The sequence below is a fragment of the Homo sapiens genome, chromosome 2, assembly GCF_000001405.40.
Source record: "Homo sapiens chromosome 2, GRCh38.p14 Primary Assembly".
Taxonomy (NCBI): Eukaryota; Metazoa; Chordata; class Mammalia; order Primates; family Hominidae; genus Homo; species Homo sapiens.
This window is the reverse complement of record NC_000002.12, coordinates 177,621,912-177,643,612: the sequence shown is the minus strand read 5'-3', so window position 1 is coordinate 177,643,612 and position 21,701 is coordinate 177,621,912. Positions and strand designations below refer to the sequence as shown.

Sequence of the window (21,701 nt, the reverse complement as noted above, 5' to 3'; positions counted from 1 at the left end):
GAAAATGATATTTTCTTTTCTATTGCATTGTCAGCCTACAAATTTTCCAAACTTTTATGCTGTGTTTCATATGCCCTTTAACAGCAGCCAAGTCACCTCTAGAATGCTTTGCTGCTTAGAAATTTCTTCCGCCAGGTACCCTTAATCATCTCTCTCAAGTTCAAAGTTCCACAAATCTCTAGGGCAGGGACAAAATGCTGCCAGTCTCTTTGCTAAAACATAACAAGAGTCACCATTGCTCCACTTCCCAACAAGTTCCTCATCTCCATCTGAGACCACCTCAGCCTGGATTTCATTGTCCATATCATTATCAGCATTTTGGTCAGAGCCACTCAACAAGCCTTTAGGGAGTTCCAAACTTTCCCACATTTTCCTATCTTCTTCTGAGCCCTCCAAATTGTTCCAAAATCTGCCTGTTACCCAGTTCCAAAGTTGCTTCCACATATTCGGGTGTCTTTTCAGCAATGCCCCACTCTACTGGTACCAATTTACTGTATTGGTCCGTTTTCACACTGCTGATAAAGACATACCCAAGACTGGGTGATTTACAAAAGAAAGAGAGGTTTAAGGGACTTACAGTTCCATGCGGCTGGGGAGGCCTCACAGTCATGGTGGAAGACAAGGAGGAGGAAGTCACATCTTACATGGATGGCAGCAGGCAAAGAGAGAGAGCTTGTACAGGGAAACTCCCATTTTGAAAACTATCAGATCTCGTGAGACTTATTCACTATCACGAGAATAGCATGGGAAAGACCTGCCCCCATAATTTAATTGCCTCCCACTGGGTTCCTCCCATGACATGTCACGTCTAAAACCTAGGCGGAGGTTACAATTGTGGGAGTTACAATCCAAGATGTGATTTGGTTGGGGAGACAGCCAAACCATATCAATATTCCAACAGCAAGAAACAGATAGGGACAAGAGCAAGAGAATGCACCTCCCAGCAGAATAAGCCCCATTTAAAGAGTTTTCTCTGAGCCTTTATGAATTCTGCTTACATCTCCCTGGCCACTCCTAAGCTCAAGGTAAATTAAAACGTGTATTGGGTAGGCAACTAACAAACTCTGCTAGGGATACCACAGTTCTGGCAGAATAAATGACCATGTCCTTAAACAGGGCAGGAATTATAAAGCTAGAGCCCTTTAAACTCCATTGTTTTCTAGTCTGAGAAGAACTCAGCTGTTATGAACCCACTGAATCAGCTATTTAAGTCCTTGCCTCTGCCTAAGTCTTTTCTTATTATTTCACCCTTGGTCGTGTTGCCAAACTTCAGCCTTGTATGTAGGTAACCTTGAACCCTGTTCACTCTTTTCCAGGGTGACTCTGCCTCTTACTTGCCTTCTGACCAATCTTGACCTCCATAGACCTATGTCATATGAACATGTCTGAGACCACAGCAGCACTTGAGTCTGTTAAGGAAAACATTTATTAGCTAATGAGATATTCCTGAAGATAAACAGGCAATTCCTATCTAGAAATGCACTTTTCATTCATAATTCTAACCAGCAGGCTGACCTATTCAAACTCACATGCCAGCATTACACATATGGTAGGTGGTTACTAACTTGGGCTCTGGAGTCAGAGACCTGGGACCAAACCCTGGCTCTGTGGCCCCAGGCAAATTATGTAGCCTTTCTGAGCCTGATTTTCTCCTCTCTAAAACGGGTTGATAATGCACATACCTGGTAGTTTTGAGAATTTAATGAGATAAACTATATGAAGCACAAATATACCACAGTGTCTTACACAGTTACATGTGTAACCTACATAAATAATTATTATTAATTTTCCAACTTCTGCAAATAACACAAAAAAGATATGTTTTTAAGGCTGGTATCTTTAATGTGAATGCTTAAAAACAGCCAAGGAAGTCTGGGCTTCCTTCTGTGTTCACCATTATAGGTTGATTATTTGTTTTTCAAAGCAAGTTTTAAAAACTGCTGGAAGCCTTCTATGGTAGTTAATACATTATCTTAAGCAATTTAATACAAATTAATTTTTACACAACCTTGAGTTTCAAAAGCCATTGAACTGGGGAGGGAAGGAGTGAGGTTTAGGAGGAGTCTGTTTGCTGCCTCCCATCTGGACTCCACAGCCAGCTCCATCTGCTCTCACATATAGTAACTAACATTTTAGCTCTCTCCTGCCAAACGCACCATGTGGAGTCTAGCTTTTTTTTTTTTTTTGACTCAGTAAAACGTGAAAATGCATATAAAGATGTGTACTTCAGGATTTCTAGAAAACTTAGTGGGATTATTTTGGCATTTCAAAGTTCTGTTTTTGTACCATAACCCAAGTTTTCCATCAGTCTTTATGGTTTTGTTTCTGTTTTGTTTTGTTTCTGGATTTCATTCTCTCTTACTACCACAATACTCTTTTCTGATAGGGTCTTATAGGCCACATTGAGGGATTTGGACTTGCGATGATGAGCATATTCATATCAAATAGGAGCCACTGAAAGTCTCAGAGAAGTGAATGGCAAGCTCAGGTTTCTGTTTCTGATTGACTGCTCCATGGTGGCTTCCATATGGAGTACCGATTGGACAGTGGCAGAGGAAGGCTGGGAGACTGGTTAGGAGGCTGCAGCAGATTTAAAACAGTCAGGGGGATGATGGTAGCCTAAACCAGGGTTGTGGAAATGGCAACAGAATCATGTTCAAAGAAACTTTGGAAGTGGGATTGACAGGACTTTTGTGACAGATTGGATGTAAGGGGAAGAGGAAGATGTCATGGATGACCCATGGATTTCTGGGTAGGACAGCTAGATAGATGATAATGCCCAGTTCCCTGACAGAGTAAACGTAAGAGGAAGGCTTGAGGGAAGGTGAGGAATTCAGTTGTAAACAGTCCGTCCACTGAGTTTCTGGCCTCTACAACCCATAAAAAAGTAGAAGGCTGGAAAGCCAAAGTGATTTCCAGCCAACTGCAGCACTGAGGTGTGGCATGTAAAATCTGGGAGTATCTCAGATTAAATCATGAATAATCTTAACCTTTGGACCTAAGAGGGATTAGCAGTTCAACAATTCACTAATTTATAACTTAGGCTCTGCTCCCACAATTGGCTACCTGTCTCTGAAGTCATACACCTTGAACAGGAAGCTGTTTCTTGAAGATGCTCTTTGCATCTGTAACTGCTGGACAGGCACACGAATTCATGAGAATTTCAGGGCCTGCCACCATTTGCATGTTCTCTTGTCCCTCCTGCTGAAGAATCTGAGCAGAGATGATAACAGTTGGTCATATCATCAGTGGTTTTCCATTTCAAAATACCAACTTCCAATGATTTTTTTGATATTTTCCTCCAGAAAGGGAATAATCATGGTAGTAAAGTGATCATGACCTCATAACAGGAATACGCTGCCTCAAACAGATACGTAAGATAAGTTCCAAGTCTAACTTTATAGTTTTAAAAATCAACATTAAAAAATACTCTAAGTTCTTTCTCCTCTATGGTATATTGTGTCACTTAGTTTCTGATTCTCTTGGGTAAGGTGGGGGTGAGAGAAGGCAAAAAATACTAAGTGATGTCACTAGCAACTCTGGAAATAGATTTCAACAATAGGGGGCCAAAACCATCTTCTCTCTTTGTCCTTTTTTTTCTTAATAAATGTCTTTTTTTCTTAATAAATGAATAGTCAGACAATTTCCTCAAAGTTTTAAAAAATATATTAATGACACCGTTGGACATTTTCAGGTTCAAACACTAATCTGGTTTTAATTTGATGGGGTTCCTCTATGCCCCTTTCCAACAACAGAGTATAGGAGTACTCACATTTTCTAAGAGCATGACTTCTCTCTGCTCCTCCCTTGTCCCACATCTGCCCTATCTATCCAGCAGCTGGGTTCCAAGAGGTAACTGTGGTCAACTAATAAGCACAAACTGAGCCAGATGATAACAGATGTGGACCACGATGGCAGAGAAACACAAAGGCCAGGATCTGGCTCCTAGCAGGTTGGCAAACTGATAAAAACAAAGGCCCAGGAATAATGGTAATAAGAGAAAATATATCCATTTCCCAAGTGGCTCATTCTAGATGTGTTTTTACAGCAGGATTTTGTAGCAGGTCAGAACATCCTAACCCCACTCTCAGCCACTGGCAGCTGTCCTAGCCTTAACCCTTCTTCCTGCCACTGTTCTATGGGGAAGAATGGAGGAGAGGCTGCTGCTTCCTGGGGTCACTGTGCCAGATGTTGAAGATACAAAGATAAAAGGCCTTGTTTCCACTGTCTCTCTGAGCTTGTGGGATACTAAGCAAGACAGAGTTTTTAAAACCAGTGATAAGGGACCTCTACTACTAGCCATGGTTGAGTAACGGGCCAAAACAAAACAAAACAACAACAACAACAAAACCCCAAAACCTGAAAAATATATGAAACAACACTTTTCAGACAATGGGCAACAGACAACATAATACAGTGGTTCCTGAGTAAGGGGAATGAATGAAGTGAGTCCTACAACTGTTCCAGCTTGTGGCCTGGATAGAATTTCTAGGCCACGGCACAGGCAGGGGGAATCCAGGCAGAGCCCAGTGATCTTGCTGAGTTAAGGAGGCAGAGCTAGGAGTCTAGGGAGGCCAAAGAGGTTACAGTTCCCAGGGAAGAGTAAGAGAGAAGAGAGGACTGCACAGAAAAAGCCCAGAGATCTGCAGAGGGCCACTTTGAGTCTTCAGGTTAGTGATGTTCATCATATCCATGTGAGGAAACTACTGAGGCTGAAGCAAAAAGGAGCAAGTAAAGTGATCCACAGAGGTCACACAGCCTGGGGAAAATAGTCCATGCTCCTGCCAGCTAGAGTACCCAAGAAAAGCCTTGAAATACATGAGGCATTGGATGCAGTTCTCAGAAGGGTATTGCATCAGTAGTGGGAGCAAATTAGCCCTCCACAAAAAAAAAGGCTGCTTTGGACCCAGCTTGCGCAGCTGAAAAGCAAGCCTCAAAGGGATTGAATTATTTCCAAATAACCTGACTATATTCCAGAACAAAACTGAAGAAGGCTTAAAGCAAAGGAAAAAAAATCCATCACCCAACAATATAAACTTTACAATGTCTGATATTCATCAAGAATTATCAAGCATGCAAAGAAGCAAAAACATCTGACCCATAATAATTAGAAAAATCAATCAATACAAATTCAGAGATTATATAGATCATAGACTTGGTAGAAAAAGACATTAAGATAGTTATTATACTTAGATATTTCAGAGGGTAGAGGAAAGATTGAGCATGATTAAGGGGTCATGGAAGATATTAAAAAGACCCAAATCAAACTTCTAGAAAAGAAAACGCTAATTTTTGAGGTAAAAAAAATATAGTAGGCTGGGCGCGGTGGCTCACGCCTATAATCCCAGCACTTTGGGAGGGCGAGGCAGGTGGATCACAAGGTCAGGAGATCGAGACCATCCTGGCTAACACGGTGAAACCCTGTCTCTACTAAAAACACAAAAAATTAGCCGGGCACGGTGGCGGGCACCTGTAGTTCCAGCTACTCAGGAGGCTGAGGCAGGAGAATGGCGTGAACCTGGGAGGCGGAGCTTGCAGTGAGCGGAGATCGCGCCACTGCACTCCAGCCTGGGTGACAGAGCGAGACTCCATCTCAAAAAAAAAAAAAAAAAAAATATATATATATATATATACACGTGTATATATATACGTATATATGTATGTGTATATATGTATATATGTATATATGTATGTGTATATATGTATATATGTATATATATATATGTATAGTAGATGAGATCCATAGCAGATTAAGCCCTGCAAAAGAAAAACTCAGTGACGCAACAGAAACTATCCAAAATGATATAGAAAAGATGGAAGAGAAATGAGCAGAGCATCATTTGAGCTGTGAGACAATGCCAATGGCTAAATATGTATGATTAGAGTCCCAGAGGGAAAAGACAGATGTAAAACATAGCTGAAGACAGGATGGTGGAAATAAATGTACAGAACCAAGATTCTCAATGAAGCCAAGCAGAAGACACATGAAGGACACTACAGCAATGCACATGAGAATCAAATTGCTGAAAACCAGCACTTTTAAAACTTGGCTTAAAAGGACCCAGAAGGGGGAAAAAAGACAAGTACAAAGAGACAAAAACACAATCCAGAACAGGATCTTTGAAGAACTGCAAAAAAATGCAAATACCTTTTCAGTGCGATAGATAGAATTGGAGAGATGGAGAGTGTGCTACAGGCATGCCTAAGGAAGGAGAGTTCTGGTTCCATACCAGAAGACCAGAGAAGACTTCACAGAGAAGACAGAATGTGAGCTGAGTGGCGAAGGATTAGTTCTCTAGGGAAGGAATTTTTTACACAATGCATTAGAGTCAGAAAGACTTAGGTAAACATCCTGGCTCCATCTCTCATTATATGACCATGGACAAGGCACTTAACCTAAGTGAACCTCAATTTCCTTATCTATAAAGTGAAGATGATAAAAGTACCTACTTCGTGGGACTGCTGTGGAGATTTTATGAGATAATGGCCTTTAGGCCCCGGCCCTAGCCCAGCACAGTGAACATTCAATATATAGAAACTCCTCTTATTTCTCCTTCCTAAATGTCTTCAGAAAAAGGAGGTGAGGAAGAGTATGTATTTGGCCCAAGAAGAAGTCTTTCCTTCTCTGCTACCAGAGATGCTGCTGGGGTTCAGACTGTAGCTAGTTACTTTTATTCCTCCTTCTATTTGAGGGGAAGCTGAGTTCATTGAAGACCTGATGGAGACGAGATAATGCTTAGAGGCAGCAGAGCAGTGGTTCTTAACTGGGAAGATGCTGCTCCCCAGAGGACATCTGGCAATATCTGGAGACATTTTTGGTGGTCACAACTTTGGGGAGGGATGCTACTGGCTTCTAGAGCATTCTATAATGCAAAAGACAGCCCCCACCATAAAGAATTATCTAACCCAAAACATCAATAGTACTGAGGTAGAGAAACCCTGCAGTTTCAGTTCTTCACTTACCAAGTGAATGACCACGAGTGAGTTCTTCATCCAGGCCTTGGTTTTTCTTAATTATATATATATAAAGAGGATAATAATAGTAACCATTTCATAAAGTTCCTGAGAAAATTATATGACAGTGTTAAGCACTTATTACAGTCTGACTCCAACTAAGCATTCAGTAAAAGTTTGCTAATGACAGTAAGAGTCCATGAAACACACTGAAAACACCTGTAACTGGTCAAAAATGATTGATATGCTGTAAGAGATTTCAGTAGATTCAAGTACCATTTGGGGAGTTTCTTTCAGAGAGGGAGTAAAATCAAAACCTTCTGGACAACATGATTATGATGCTTCAGTGATACCAAGTGTACTGTGTAGAAATTAGCATCTGGAGTATACAGAGAAGAGAGGGATCAAATTCTAGATTTGTGTATCCTTCTTAGCTCTACCCACCCTCACACTATCTTTCCAAGGCCTTAATCTAAACAGTAGCTATGGTTTCTGTTCCCTCTCTTTTGTTAGTATGGCTATTATAAAAATCCTGCTATATATCTTAAGTAAAATTATATTTGTTGATTCAGTAATATCTACCAAAACGCAAATACACATTCCCTTTCACCCAGCAATACCCATTCTAGAATTTGACTCTCTGATAAACTTCACACCTATGGAGAGGCTATGTACAGGGATATCCATTACAGCATTATTTGTAATGGCCAAATATAAACAATGTTTGGGTTCCATCAAAAAGGAACTGGTTAAACAAATTTTGACAGCAGTGGAATACTAGATAGCCATAAAAAATGAGGAAATCTAATTTTGTAGTGATATGAGTTTTTCCCAAGATATATTAAGAATAAAAGGCAAAGTGCAGATCCCTCTGTATGGTGTACTACCATTTGTAAAAAGGGGCAAATATATTTATGTTCTTACACATTCAGAAAATTTTTCTTGATTATCTACTCAAGACACTGAAAACATCTGTTGCCTCTAGGGGAGGAAACTGAGTGTCTGGGAAATAGTAGAACGGAGATTTTATATTGCACCTTTGTACCGTTTTGTATCCATGGAACTATGTGAATGTGTTCCTTATTCAAAACATAAATAAAATACGGAATAAACTGTATATGCTGGTCACAAGAGAACTCAACAGTGGAGTGTGAATGAAATCAGGAAATAAGTGGGGTCCCTTGGCCACCTAGATGACCAGATGCCCAGGCTGTGTCCCATAGTGGGGCAAGTATCCGAGGTCCTGTCTGCGATGGGCCAGGAGGGAACTGGAAGGAACATGGGGCCCCAGTGATGTCAAAAAGGTTGCCCCAAGGGAGAAGCACTGCATCCCAAATAGGGTTTTTAGGTCAGCATCAACTCTAACCTACACTTGAAACAAAACCTGAGTTATCAGTCCTACACTACTAAAGAAAATTCTGGTTTAAAGAAAGAGCACCCTAAGGATTAGAACCATTAGGTAGAAGTTACAGGGGTATAGATTTCAGTCCAACATAAAGGAACAACATTTTAAAAACAGAACAATCAAAAACTAAATGGACTCCCCTGGGAGGTTGTGCACGCACTGCCTCTGAAAGGGTTTCAACGGTAGCTGTGTGGTCACGCAGCAGGGATGCCACAGAGGAGAGTCAGGTGTCTTGAGGCTGATGCAGCCGCATACATAACCTTTAGAGTTCCTCCGTGTGTATATGGAGAGTGATCAGATGGGTGCTAAGTTTCCCCCCTTCTCTTTCACTGAGGAGCAAGTCAAACTAGACAATAGCATTCTCACAGAACCCATCCCGTATCACTTGATAAGAAACTTTTAAATACTAGAAGCAATTCTCTTGCTGATGACTCACTACACATAATCACCATAAGCCTTGGAATTTAGGTTCGTGGATAAACCCTTGCTTTACTAGTATTTTAATAGTTCCATATTCTCTCAGCTAACTGCATTTCTGTAACAAATTAAGAGTGTAAGAATAAGTCGGCCGGGCGCGGTGGCTCACGCCTGTAATCCCAGCACTTTGGGAGGCGGAGGCGGGGGGATCACGAGGTCAGGAGACGGAGACCACCCTGGCTAACACGGTGAAACCCCGTCCCTACTAAAAATACAAAAAAATTAGCCAGGCGTGGTGGCGGGCGCCTGTAGTCCGAGCTGCTCGGGAAGCTGAGCAAGAGAATCGCTTGAACCAGGGAGGCGGAGCTTGGAGTGAGCCGAGATCGCCCCACTGCACTCCAGCCTGGGCGTCAGAGCGAGACTCCTTCTCACAAAAAAAAAAAAAAGAGAGAGAGAAAAAGTAAGTTTTCAAGATAGGAGTTTTGTTACCTTTGCCTAGAACCAGCACCTGGCCACAGGAAAACGATATTCTAGTATGGCAATTCTGTGTTTCAGGAGAATATAAAACAAAGAGAAAGGAATTCTGAGAAATATGTATTCCTCCTCCCTCCCCAATTTCTTTATTCCATACAAAGGAAGCAAGAAGGAGAACAAAGAGCAAGGATAAAGGGAAGAAAGCTGTTTGGGGCTATGCCAAATAAACTTAAATGGCTTAAGGAATAAATTGGTGGAATGATTCGAATCATGGGCAGGTGCTATGAATGTAATTTAGTAAATGCTTGGGTACCTGCCAGGGAAGAAAAAAATGTGTTGCTTTTAAGATCATTTCCCAGCAGCTTCATAAAAGAAAACTGATTACAGGAATTTAATAAGTAAAACAGAGCCAGAAATATTGTAATCAAATGAGTTTTTAATTACATATCAAGCAGAAAAAAATTCTAATTTATGCTCCTGGGATTAAAAAAAATAAGTTCTGGAGAAATGCTTTTGTAGCAGGAAAATAACATAAACACTAATTTCCATAGGAATTATAGTAGTCAGTTTAATTAAAAGGCTTGATCAGAGTAAAGAGGAGCTGGTGCCAAGCTATACTAAATAAAACCATGGCAGTTGTGGCTCCCTCACACTATTGTCTAAATAAAAACACTATGCATTGAGTGGAAAACAAGCACCTGTATTTTTCTCATGGAAATAAAGGGGATTTTGATCGCTGCTGGAGTTACAATGTTGCTTTGTTTTATTATCATATGAAATAACTAGTAAATTTGATTTAAAATTAGATGTTTCTGTTTAGTGTGATAAATATCACTGTTAAGAGAGAGACAGAACATACTCTGTCTTAAGGACATCGGGCTTTCAACCCCCACCCCCACTCCGTTAACTTACATCTAGTTACATTTTACTCATATTCATATAACTCCCTGGAGCAGAGGATTATTTGAGCAGATAAATTAGGTTTACTAACAGGTGGTTTGCAGTTGTGCTTGGAGTCATACACTCTGGCATTCTAACAGAAAAAGAGCTATTCTTCCTGTTGGAGGACTTACTATTGACTACTCCCTAACCACAGTCATGCTTGGAGAAGGCTTTTCACAAGGTGTGCTGAAATCATAGTGGTTTAATGATATGTTCACCTTTTGTCCCCCTTGTGATGAATGGGATGCACCTGCAAGGTGTTTACACGGGACCAGGGATATAACCCTGTCCACAGAACAAAAAATAGCTAACTAACCCAAAGCATAAAGTGGGAAATCACCTTTCCATAGGCTAATAATCTCACAACTTCTGTGTTCTTTCTTTTATTTCTTTATAAGGAAAATAAAAACTACCTTATAGGCCTTAGTGCAACAAGAAAGGGAAACTTTAATTTGTCAGAATTCTGGGGAGCCTGGGAAAAAACTGGCTGGCTGGCAGTCCAGATCTGTATAAAAGCAGTGAGCTAGGGCTGGGGAGAAAACTGGATTACTCTCCATGGGGTAAAAGACTGTGCCCTTTGAGATGAAAAGGAGTATGTAAGAGTAAGTCAGTGGGTAAGTCACTTCCCCTATGACAACCTCTAAAGTTCGGTACAGTTAGTAGGCATCCAAAATGTTGAGGGTGATGGGATTTCCTGTGAAAAGGGGAAATAAAGTGAAATACTGCATTAGGAATGATGCAGAATGGAGTCAAGAGGGCCAAATAGACTCAAGAAGAAGTCAGAGAGTACAAGGAAGTAAGACTTGGAAATCACTGGCAGGAGTCTGAAAGGTCCCCCAGAGCATGAAATAGATTTGAGGTCTAATCTCAAGTCTAAAGGGTTGGGGAGGCCTCAAGTGACATAAGATTACATTCAAAGAACAATGTCAGAATTCATGAGAGTTGTATACATATGCAAGATGATGGGTGATAGAATTAATGGATAAGAGGAGAGAAGAAAGGAGAGATGGGTATGAATAAGTCAGAAGAAAGGTCCTGGTGTCAACCCTTACCCCAAATTGATGACAACAGCAATCACATTCAATGTGTCCTCAGAAGTTCATGTCTTCAGTCTCCTCATCATCATCACAGTCTCTAAAAACAGGAATGATACAATTACTAGCTGGTTGGAATTGTGCATTGACAAAGGTTGAAGCCATACAATTTCAAGACGTGTATCTTATTATTCCTTGGTTTTTCTTCTTGACTCTTTAAGAGCTTCCCTTTTATGTTACATCCTCAGCAGATTTCTCTATATCTTCATTCTATATGGCAGGCTAGTGTCCTATCCCTGACTTTTACTTGAGAAAAACAATGGTTTTCTCCATAGCTTCCAAAACAAATGGAAAGATTACAAAAGGAAGCCCTAACTTCCTATATGGATTCTTACCTTCCTCCTGTGATGGAAAGGCTAAGGATCATTTATGATCCTAACATGTGGGGGACATGTTTTATCATCTGTAAGATGCACAGTCATTGTGAGGAATAGCTGAGATGAAGTATGCAGAGCAGCTGGCAATGTGTTTAACACATAGGAGGTGTTAGGTGTTAACAGAAGCTCCCCCTCATCCACGTGGGATGCCAGCTTTTTATACTTCTTTCAGACCCTGGAGATGGAAAACAGGCCCAAGAAGTATGAATGCTTAAAAATCCATACATTCTCATTGATTCTGTCCATTTTTAAACTGAGATTATAAAATACCATATATATATGTGTATATATATACACACACATATATATGTATATATATACACACACATATATGTATATATATACACACATATATATGTGTGTGTATATATATATACATGTATATATATATATATACATGTGTATATATATATATATATATATATATATATATATATTTTTTTTTTTTTTTTTTTTTTTTTTTTTTTTTGAGATAGAGTCTCACTCTGTTGCCCAGGCTGGAGTGCAGTGGTGTGATCTCAGCCCACTGCAACTTCTGCCTCCTGGGTTCAAGCGATTCTCCTGCCTCAGCCTCCCAAGTAGCTAGGATTACAGGCATGTGAGGCATGTGCCACCACGCCTAGGTTGTTTTTTTTTTTGTTTTTTTTTTTTTTTTTTTGCATTTTTAGTAGAGATGAGGTTTCACCATGTTGGCCAGGCTGGTCTCAAACTCCTGACCTCAAATGATCCACTCACCTCAGCCTCCTAAAGTGCTGGGATTACAGGCATGAGCCATATTTTAGATGTTCTGATCATTTCACCAGTTAGAAACATAATAGAAAGATTCCATTCAAGGCAAAACCCAAAAGTTAGTAGTGTCTATCTCTTGAGTTATGAGATTATAAATTATCTCCATTTCCTACTTTTTAAACCTATTGTTTCTATATTTTCTAACACTAACATGTTACTTAAAATATATAAAATAACTGTGAAGGGAAGAAAAGGTATTATTTTTAAAACAACCCCCCAAAACCTCATGGTTTAAAAGGACAAAGACCATGTTTCTAAAAGTTAAATGTCATCAAAATCTTATTTCCCTTTTCATTGAGCTGTCCAGAAAATTAAAAGGCTCCTAGATCCTTTGTTACATATGTTTTACATGGGTGGCTTTACTTATTATTCATCTTTACAGGCATATAGATACATAATAGAGATTTTTGCTGATCATATTTTACTGGTTGAATATGTTAGAAGCCTTTCATTATGAAAAGTAAAAAAAAATTAAAATAAGGAAAATGTAGATATTCATGCATTTAAAAGAAAGAAAATAATCAGTAAAGTAGAGAATAGTGGAATTTTCCTGTTGGGCAGAGTAAATTCCATGCTCCTCTGACCTGTAAAATATTTACCTATTGCTCTTTAATCTGAGCTCCTTGAATTTGTTCTAGTCCCAGTTCAGAAACAAAATCCTCGGCCCTGCCCCCATGTTACCCCCTATCTTGGAGAAGCCCTCTGATATGAAAGCTGAAGATGGACTCATTTGCATTAAATTAAAGTAAGCCATCTTACTTTTAGGGCTCTCATTCCACTACCAGGGGCAACCCAGGAGCGGTGAGACAAGCTTATACCATTTGGGAACAGGAGGACTCTTAAAAACACACACACACAAAATTAAGCACAAAAGAATATACTTAGAAGGGTCTGGCACAAGTGAGGATGCTGAAGCCTGACTTTCATCAGCCTGGTCGTCCATCTGCCCCTGGCCACACCCTACATTTCCTCTTCCCTCATCCCCCTTTCATCCCTCTGTCACTCTCTTCCACACTGCTTCCCTTTCTGCCATGTCTATTTCCATGCATGTTTCCATGCTTTGTATATTTAGCACAACTCCCAGATCTTTAGCTTTAAAAATGAGCACCTCCTCATTTCAGGATTTTACCTGACCTTTCCTATTCAAGTAAGTCCACCCAGAGTCATCTATGGTAAAGCAATTGTAGGATTATTTTGTAAAAATTTAAGTGCATAGTCAATTGAGATCTGGAGCCCTCTGTGGCAGGCAAAGATGCACACGTAAGTAGGCATATGTGAGCTGGATATTTTGTTTCCTGTCTTGCTTGATGTAGTTGTAAAACAGGATTTGAGTCTACATGGCTGGTGTCCCCTAGAGTTGTACACAGCTATGCTGGTGATGTCTTATTTTTTCATTCTCTAAGTAGGCTCTATTAATACAACATATTGGTGTTAAATGCATATTTACTTCTTGTAAATAGCTCTTGTTTACCAAAATAATCATCACTTTCATTTCCTATAGCCAGTTTCCATTCTCCTCATAAGTGAAAGGTGGAAAATCATGTCAGTTACTCTGTTTCCTCTCTCCTCCACCTGTGTTTTGTTTTGTTTTGTTTTAGGCACTGGTGAAGGTCAACGTGAAACTGAAGCCGATGCTAGATTCAGTAGCTACAAACAGAAGTAAGTGGGAAGAGCTACACCAAAAACGACTGCTGGCCTCAACTGCCTCATCCTCCCCTGCCAGTGTTATGGTAGCCAAGGAAGACAGGAACTAAACCTCCAGGTCAGCTGCAGCTGCAAAATGACTACAGCCTGAAGGGCCATTTTCAGTCCAGCAATGTCATCCTTTTGTTCTTTTAGCTCAGAAAGACCTAACATCTCAAGGATGCACTGGGAAGCATGCCTGGGCTTTCACCTTGAAGCATGGTCAGCAGCAGAGAGAGCAACGGGAAGGACAAAGAAAGAGGTGGGGCAGGGAGCACACCCCAGGACCCTCACTTTTCCCTAATGAACACGCATGGGCTGAAATGAAGGCTCTGGGTAGGGGACTGTTTTGGATCCAAGGACCTGTGGACAGTCGGCCTACTTACTCTGAGCTGAGGGAACACTGAACAGTAAAAGCGTCATTAGCGCTGCTTCGTTTTGTATAGGGCTTTTCTGTTTGTTACAAGCCAAACACTGCCTGTCTTTGCTTCCTGTCCCTGAATGCCTTTTTGTGCCAGACTGTCCCAAGAATCCTAATTTGTATTCCATAGAGGTATTTTATTTTTAATCCTAGAGCTTCTTATTGATGGATCCTTTAGAATTGCCTACCTAAAAGGTAAACTATACTATCCTTATAAATACTGATCAATCCCAGTTCTCCCCCTAAAAATGAATACATAGTAGGACTATAGCAAATGTGTTTGATGGGTAATTCTAGACTGGGACTATGGTACCCTTTTCCAGAGTTTTAAAATTCAACCTTCATTACAGACAAAGTTTTCTCCCAGAAGGAATGGATTGATAGATTTTGATTAAAGTAAGGGTGGAAGGAAATCTGTAGCTGGATTTACCACAAGTGACATCTAGAAACTATAGTTCACAGGACAGAGCAGAGCCATGGAGACTAAGCATTGACTACCTTGAGTTCTCCTAGTGAGGAGTTCTGGTATAAAATTTAAGATTACTACCAGTAACCAACTTAAAGCAAACTATAGGGGTCCCTAATTTTGGATTTTTCCTTAAGTGTAAGAAACAATGCTTCAAATGTTAAGAAATAACAGTCTGGGCAAAGAACGCATATTCTATAGGAAGCCAGGTTTACAATAGGTAAGAATAAACTGTATTAAGTAGATGTAATGACTAGAAAGCTGCTTTGCTCCCTATATTGAGAAATTGTGGACATGGTATGTGTTATCCAAAGAACATTGGGCTAGAAGATAGATTTCTATCCTTAGCTTTGGCATTATTGACTGGATTGACTTGAACAAGTCACTTAACTTCTACAAGCTTGTTTCCTTATTTGTCAAATTAGATTACACTAGGAAACGATTCTCGAACATGTTTTAACCTTACAACTCTTTGTTCAAATAAATCTTTCAATGAATCCCCAACATATAAAACGTCAAAAAGCTGAATTCCTATGTGAATTATAAGCAGGGTTTGGACATCCAGAGCACCTACAAACCTTCATCTCTTTGATTACGTACATGGGGGTCCACAGGGACTCTGAAGAGTTTGAAAATCCCTGGCCTAGATTAAACCTGAGAGCCATTCTAGCTCTTAAAAAAATCTGAAATTTACAAACCATTTTTCTTGTTATTGTTTTTGTTTCTTTGTTTGTTTGTTTTTTGAGACTGAGTTTTCACTCTTGTTGCCCAGGCTGGAGTGCAATGGCGTGATCTCGGCTTACTGCAACCTCTGCTTCCTGGGTTCAAGCAATTCTCCAGCCTCAACCTCCTGAGAAGCTGGGATTACAGGTGCCTGCCACCACGCCTGGCTAATTTTTGTACTTTTAGTAGACACAGGGTTTCACCATGTTTGCCAGGCTGATCTCAAACTCCTGACCTCAGGTGAGCCACCCACCTCTGCCTCCGAAAGTGCTGGGATTACAGGCGTGAGCCACCGTACCCGGCCCTTGTTATTGTTATTAATCATTATCAATCATTAACTTTACAGATATTAAAGAAATAGGGGCCATGTTCTACATGCGACATTGTTTTCCTGGCACACAGTAGACAATTCAGGAAATGTCTGAAGAAGGAATGGGTAAAATTAAGATACCAAAATGGAATTGAGGGGAGAGCAGGTAATTGTAGAGAAAAAGACTCTTTATGGCAAGAAACAAAGTAAAAGAAATGTATAGACCGGGCGCGGTGGCTCACGCCTGTAATCCCAGCAATTTGGAAGGCCGAGGCGGGCGGATCACGAGGTCAGGAGATCGAGACCGTCCTGGCTAACACGGTGAAACCCTGTCTCTACTAAAAAACACAAAACAAATTAGCCAGGCGCGGTGGCAGGCGTCTGTAGTCCCAGCTACTGGGGAGGCTGAGGCAAGAGAATGGCGGGAACCCGCGAGGCGGAGCTTGCAGTGAGTCGAGATCACGTCACTGCCCTCCAGCCTGGGCGACCAGCGAGACTCCGTCTCAAAAAAAAAAAAAAAAAAAAAAAAAAAAAAAAAAAGTATAAACCAGACTAAGAGGGGAATAAAAGCAAGAAGAAAAAGAAACGTAAGAACACCAGTAAAGGAAAGACAGGGACCGAGACAGGTGGTTAAGGGAAATGAAAAAAAAAAAAAAAAGGTGAAAGTCAATCCAAACAAAGAAAAATGGCACTTCCAACCAAAAAAAATGAAGGTGTAGAACCCTGTCATCAATTGCTCAGAAAAGAGAGACACTTGAGCAGGGAGGGGTTTGAGAAAGGGGAGAAGGAAGGAGTGAGAGCCCTAAAAAATAATGTTCCTAGCTACCCTTTACAGCTGTCTCTGCAGGGAAGACTGGAGAAAGTAGAGGGGGAAATGAATGCAGGAAGAAACTGCCTCTGCAGAGCAGGTAAGAGGAGGTTGTTCAGATTTATGGATTTTATTAAGCCAGTTTTCTGTATCACTCTGCTATAAAGGAAAATAGCTTCTGCAGGGCTGTCTCTCCTCCTTCAGGTGGGGAACAAAGGGTGGGTGGAGTCAGGGACAGAGTCTGGTCTGCGAGATCGTGACGTGTCTGCAGCTCCGAAGCACTGCAGGTGTTTCTGGGTAATGTGCCACATCATGTTTATATCACGAACGGGAATTGAAAATCAGTCTGTGTGAGGCAGAGATGAGCCCACATCTGTTATCCTCCCCAACAATAAATAAATAAATAGCCCAGACAAATGGATGCCAGTCCATCTACAGCAACATTTTAAAGCATGTGCTTTATGACAAAACTGGACCCAGGGTCTGACAGAGACTGCAGGCTGCCGTGAGCACTGTAGCTATCCTGAACATTGATGCTACATATTGCTAAGGGGAACATAATTTATAGCATAAACCCTACAAGCTTCCACTAAGGTTGAGTTTTCCTCTCATTTTCTTGCCGTTTTATTGGCTTCACTGCATGGTTGCCAATAGCAACATCCACTGGTAGCAAGGGGAGTTCAACACCATTGCAATCTGCCATACAGTGGAGCCCTGACAATGTCAACCATCAATCTAGTAGCTGTTTGTAATTGCCTCCATCTATTTCTCCTGTCTTGAGGTATCTTTCCTATTGTGGGTCAAGATTTAGAAACTGCTGACTAATGCCATGGGTCTGTGTCTCCATGACTATGAAGCAGTGGACAGGAAGGTAGCAGCTTCCTGGTGCCAACAACCCCAGAGGTTAGAGGTTGAACTCTTGCGGGTTTCAGGCGTTTTTAATCCCTTTTCTAAACAATTTATAATTTTGCAAGAATGTGAGGCATATGCAGTTATCCATATAATCTGCTTTTCCAAAAAAGAGAAAGGAAGTTTCCCAGTCCTTATTATTAATGTTTATTTCCTATTGGAGAAAGACATTTGAAATATGAGCCTTCTTGTAAAAACTCAAACTGACCAGATTATGTTTGCTTCCTCAGGTCTCTTGGCATTAATTGTTGAAATAACTTCATCCTACTTTTTCGATGAGATGTATTTTTTTCAGACATATTTATTCTTACTAGTCACTATGTAGCTATTATGTGCACAATCTACAATGTAGTGGCAATCCTGGTGGGTAGGGACAGCTTCACATACTGCAAAGGGTGCCATTCAGTGCATAGCAGACTGGAACTCCCTCCTAGCTTGGCCACCAGCTGAACCTGTAATCTTAGGACTCTCCAAGTCTTAGAATCTCCATCTATTACATAAAAGCACTGACTTTTATTCAGTCCCCACACCAAAGGACCAAGACGTGTTTAGCTTTAAAGAAATTTTCCAGATAATTTTCTTTTTTATTCTTCTCAAATAAAATAGCAACAAACCTAAAGCAGTCATCTTCTTAATAAAGACATAATAAAACTTACATATATGGGGTAGATGTAAGCACAATCATACTACAGATGTATCTTGAGCCTGTCTCTAATTATGATGAAAGATGTAGTCATCAATACAATTTAAAAAAAGATATGTCCTTTTTTTGAGACAGGGTCTTGCTCTGTCACCCAGGCTGGAGGGCAGTGGCACAATCACAGCCACTGCAGCCTTGACCTCTCCAACTTAAGTGATCTTTCCTGCCTCAGCCTCATGAGTAGCTGGGACCACAGGTGTGCACCACCACACCCAGCTAAATTTTGTATTGTTTGTAAAGACGAGGCCTCACTATGCTGACCACACTGGTCTCGAACTCCTGGGCTCAAGCAATCCTCCTGCCTTGGCCTCCCAAAGTGTTAGGGTTAGAGATATGAACCACCACACCCACCTTATATGTCCTTTTATTTCATAAAAAACAATTTTAGATTATCTGATATCACACATATCCCATAAATGGTAGTCATTAATTTAGAAGTGAATTTATAAAGTTAAGAGAAGTTAAAATTGCACATGCATTTTGTTTCTAAAATCTGAGATGTCTATGCATTTCCAGGTATTGTATATTTGCAAATACATTGGGTTAGAAATCATCTTTAACATTTTGTGTTAGTGTAATAACAATATTATCTAATATTAATGCTGCCAGAATCCAGTTGCTTTTTCTGTGTATCAAAATTTATCATAACTTTTTCCACTTAACACTAGGTAATTAAACAGAATCTGCCCAATTTATTCTGCAGTAAAATTATTTTAAAATCTATTTTTCCTGCTGACTCTTAGAAATTGCAGAAAGACAAAAACCAGTTTCATCTCCAGTAATAGTGTGAAACAATTTCCTTCCAGTGGGACAGAAACCTAGACATACTAGGGAAAGATTTAAATATAAAGAAAAATGCCTTGGCTGAAAAAAAAAAAAACCACCAAAACACAAAAAGGATTCATTAAAGCAACAGAACAAAACCTAATTTGGGACCCTAAAAACTCTGGCAATGCCACTGTAATGAAGTTTCATTATCTGCTTCAGAGTAACAGTCTCTGAAATTGTTATTCTGCTACATGCTGTAAAGAACTCCCAAAACTCAAATGTATCAGGAAATGTAAAGGTTAAGTCTGACTACAAGAAGGCCAAAATTGCACCAGCTTCCTAAGTGAAGAATAATAGAATAAAACATATAGAGGGCAGAAATAAAATGAGGTGTATCTGGAGAATTTCATGATGAGCATTTAGATTTAGCAATGCCCAATGTCATGCTGACACTGTTTGTCATGACCTTGTCTTCAGCTAGTAATTTGGGGTTGTACTTTTTTAAATTTAATTTTGAATGTTCTTGCATGTTTGGTACCTCTCTCCTCACTGCTAAAGATAAATTGTTTATCTGTATAACATAACTACACCAATGTCATTTTTGTATACGCTAGTACACAAATGTGTTTTTTTATTAAGTAATGAAGTATTTGCTGTGAAAAATGTATTATTTGTGCCACCGTTTATATCTGTGTTCATTTTCTGTGTGTATATGCGTGTGTATTCGAATCTCAATTTTTCTTTTACTCTAGTTTAGATTAAGACATATTTAGATGAAATTTTAAAAATAACATTGGAAATAGGAGGCTAAGTTTTGTTGAGTCTCATTCCCTTGGGGGGAAATTGCTTTTGCCATTTTATTTTCATGTACAATAACCTAAAAAGGATCTCCTACTGACTTCCTTCCTAATTATTATTGTTTTACACGAAAGAAAGGAAATACGTTTTCAATTGAGTTGTTTGAAATCATTCACTTTGTGTAGATTTCCCAGACTGATGTTTCATTGTAAGAATATTACATTATAGACAGGTTGGCCATTTCACAAGCAACTAATCCATAGTTTTGGAAGCCCGCTTTAAGAGACCTGAATATCTTTGTTTTTAATAAAATACTTAGAGTTTAACTAAAGCTCTGGAATAATCTTTATTTCTTTTGAGAAGGGTGATTTCAGGGCTGAAAGAAGGAAGCAAGCATCCAAATACCTACAGTTTAAATGTTGACTGTTAATTTAGTCCATTAACCTTGTGTTGATCTGTGATGTTTTCATGTGTGAGAGGGACACTAGGACACGCCTGTCCATATAGCTTTTTAAAGATGACAAAAGGTTCTTCAAATTATCGAAGTTTTTCTGGAGGTAGGAGAGTCTGCGGACAAATGCTGGGTTCCTGTGTCCGTTACAGATTGCTCAAATTTGCATGGGCAATTACACAGGGGGATCGCATCAATGCAGGGCCGCTAGCCACACTGTCGCCATACAATTACACAACGGCTTCGGTGCTTAAACTTTAAAATTCTTACACCATTGTGCCTGTTCTATTAGAACAAACTGCAGCAAATGATCCAAAGCCAATTCAAATGACTGGAGAGGAGGTGGCCAGGGAGAGAGAGGGAAGAGGTGCAGTGTGACCCTCTACTGGCCAGCATAAGCAATCACCATTGCTGGCTGCTGCAATCACTGGCTTCTTTGTGCTTTGCAGTCTGCAGTTTTAAAGTGGGGCCCACAGTAAGGCTCACCTAATTCACAGAAGGGCTGTGAGGATTAATGAGGGAAGTTAGGCAAAGCAGGCCTGATACTCAAAGTACTGCATAAACACAGGGGCTTGGAGTAGCTCTTTGTCTGAATGGTTGATTTTTTTTTTTTAAATGCTGCTGTATCCACAGTTTTGCCTTCTCCATTAATCCCTTTTATAAACCAAAATGCTATTGTGTTCTCCCTGGGAAGTTAATTTAGACAATAATACTGTAAACCCCAAAATACAAGCTACTTGATCAAAAGCAAGGGATATTCAAGAAGGAAATCTAATTAAAATATTAATAAAGCTGGAACTACCCGCAAAAGGAGAGTTCATAATGAGGTTAAATGTCACACCATCTGAGGACAAATGTTCTCAAGTGTTGATTTTAGCATACACTCTTTCCCAAAGTCTTAAAAGGTGGAACAGATGCTCCAAAAAGTCAGTCAACTATATTTCCAATTTGGCACTAATTTATAGTTTTCTTCTCTGTTCACGGTAGAAGACTGGAGTGGGAGAAAGGGGATGCAAGATAACTGAACTCCACAAACTGTCCATCCTGAAGAAAATGGTCTGAAATCCAAGGGAAAAAGAAATAACAACTGGAAAATGGATTTGCAGAAGGTCCTCCCTTATAAAGGAAGATGTTTGACCACAGCTGTGGTTGAAAAACTCACAAATTAACAATGTTTACCAACAGAAAGGGGCCACAGATACAGTATAAATA

At 40.0% G+C, this 21,701-nt stretch overlaps 1 protein-coding gene across 4 annotated transcripts in view, besides 1 other annotated feature; it reads left to right on the top strand.

Annotated features, from left to right (window-relative positions):
• PDE11A (phosphodiesterase 11A) overlaps positions 1 to 20,369 on the top strand; it is a 485,096-nt gene extending 464,727 nt beyond the window's left edge. For all 4 annotated transcript variants that reach the window (NM_001077197.2, NM_016953.4, NM_001077358.2 and 1 more), the window contains one exon: positions 14,051 to 20,369. In NM_001077197.2, the coding sequence (NP_001070665.1) occupies positions 14,051 to 14,206 (156 nt within the window). In that variant the 3' untranslated portion in view covers positions 14,207 to 20,369. The remainder of the gene's footprint in view (positions 1 to 14,050) is intronic.
• Positions 8,385 to 8,464: an enhancer, noted in NCBI's record as "active region_16799". NCBI's record gives its function as "activates an Ori minimal core promoter by ATAC-STARR-seq in GM12878 lymphoblastoid cells {active_cell/tissue: GM12878}" and the evidence as "EXISTENCE:reporter gene assay evidence [ECO:0000049][PMID:35858748]".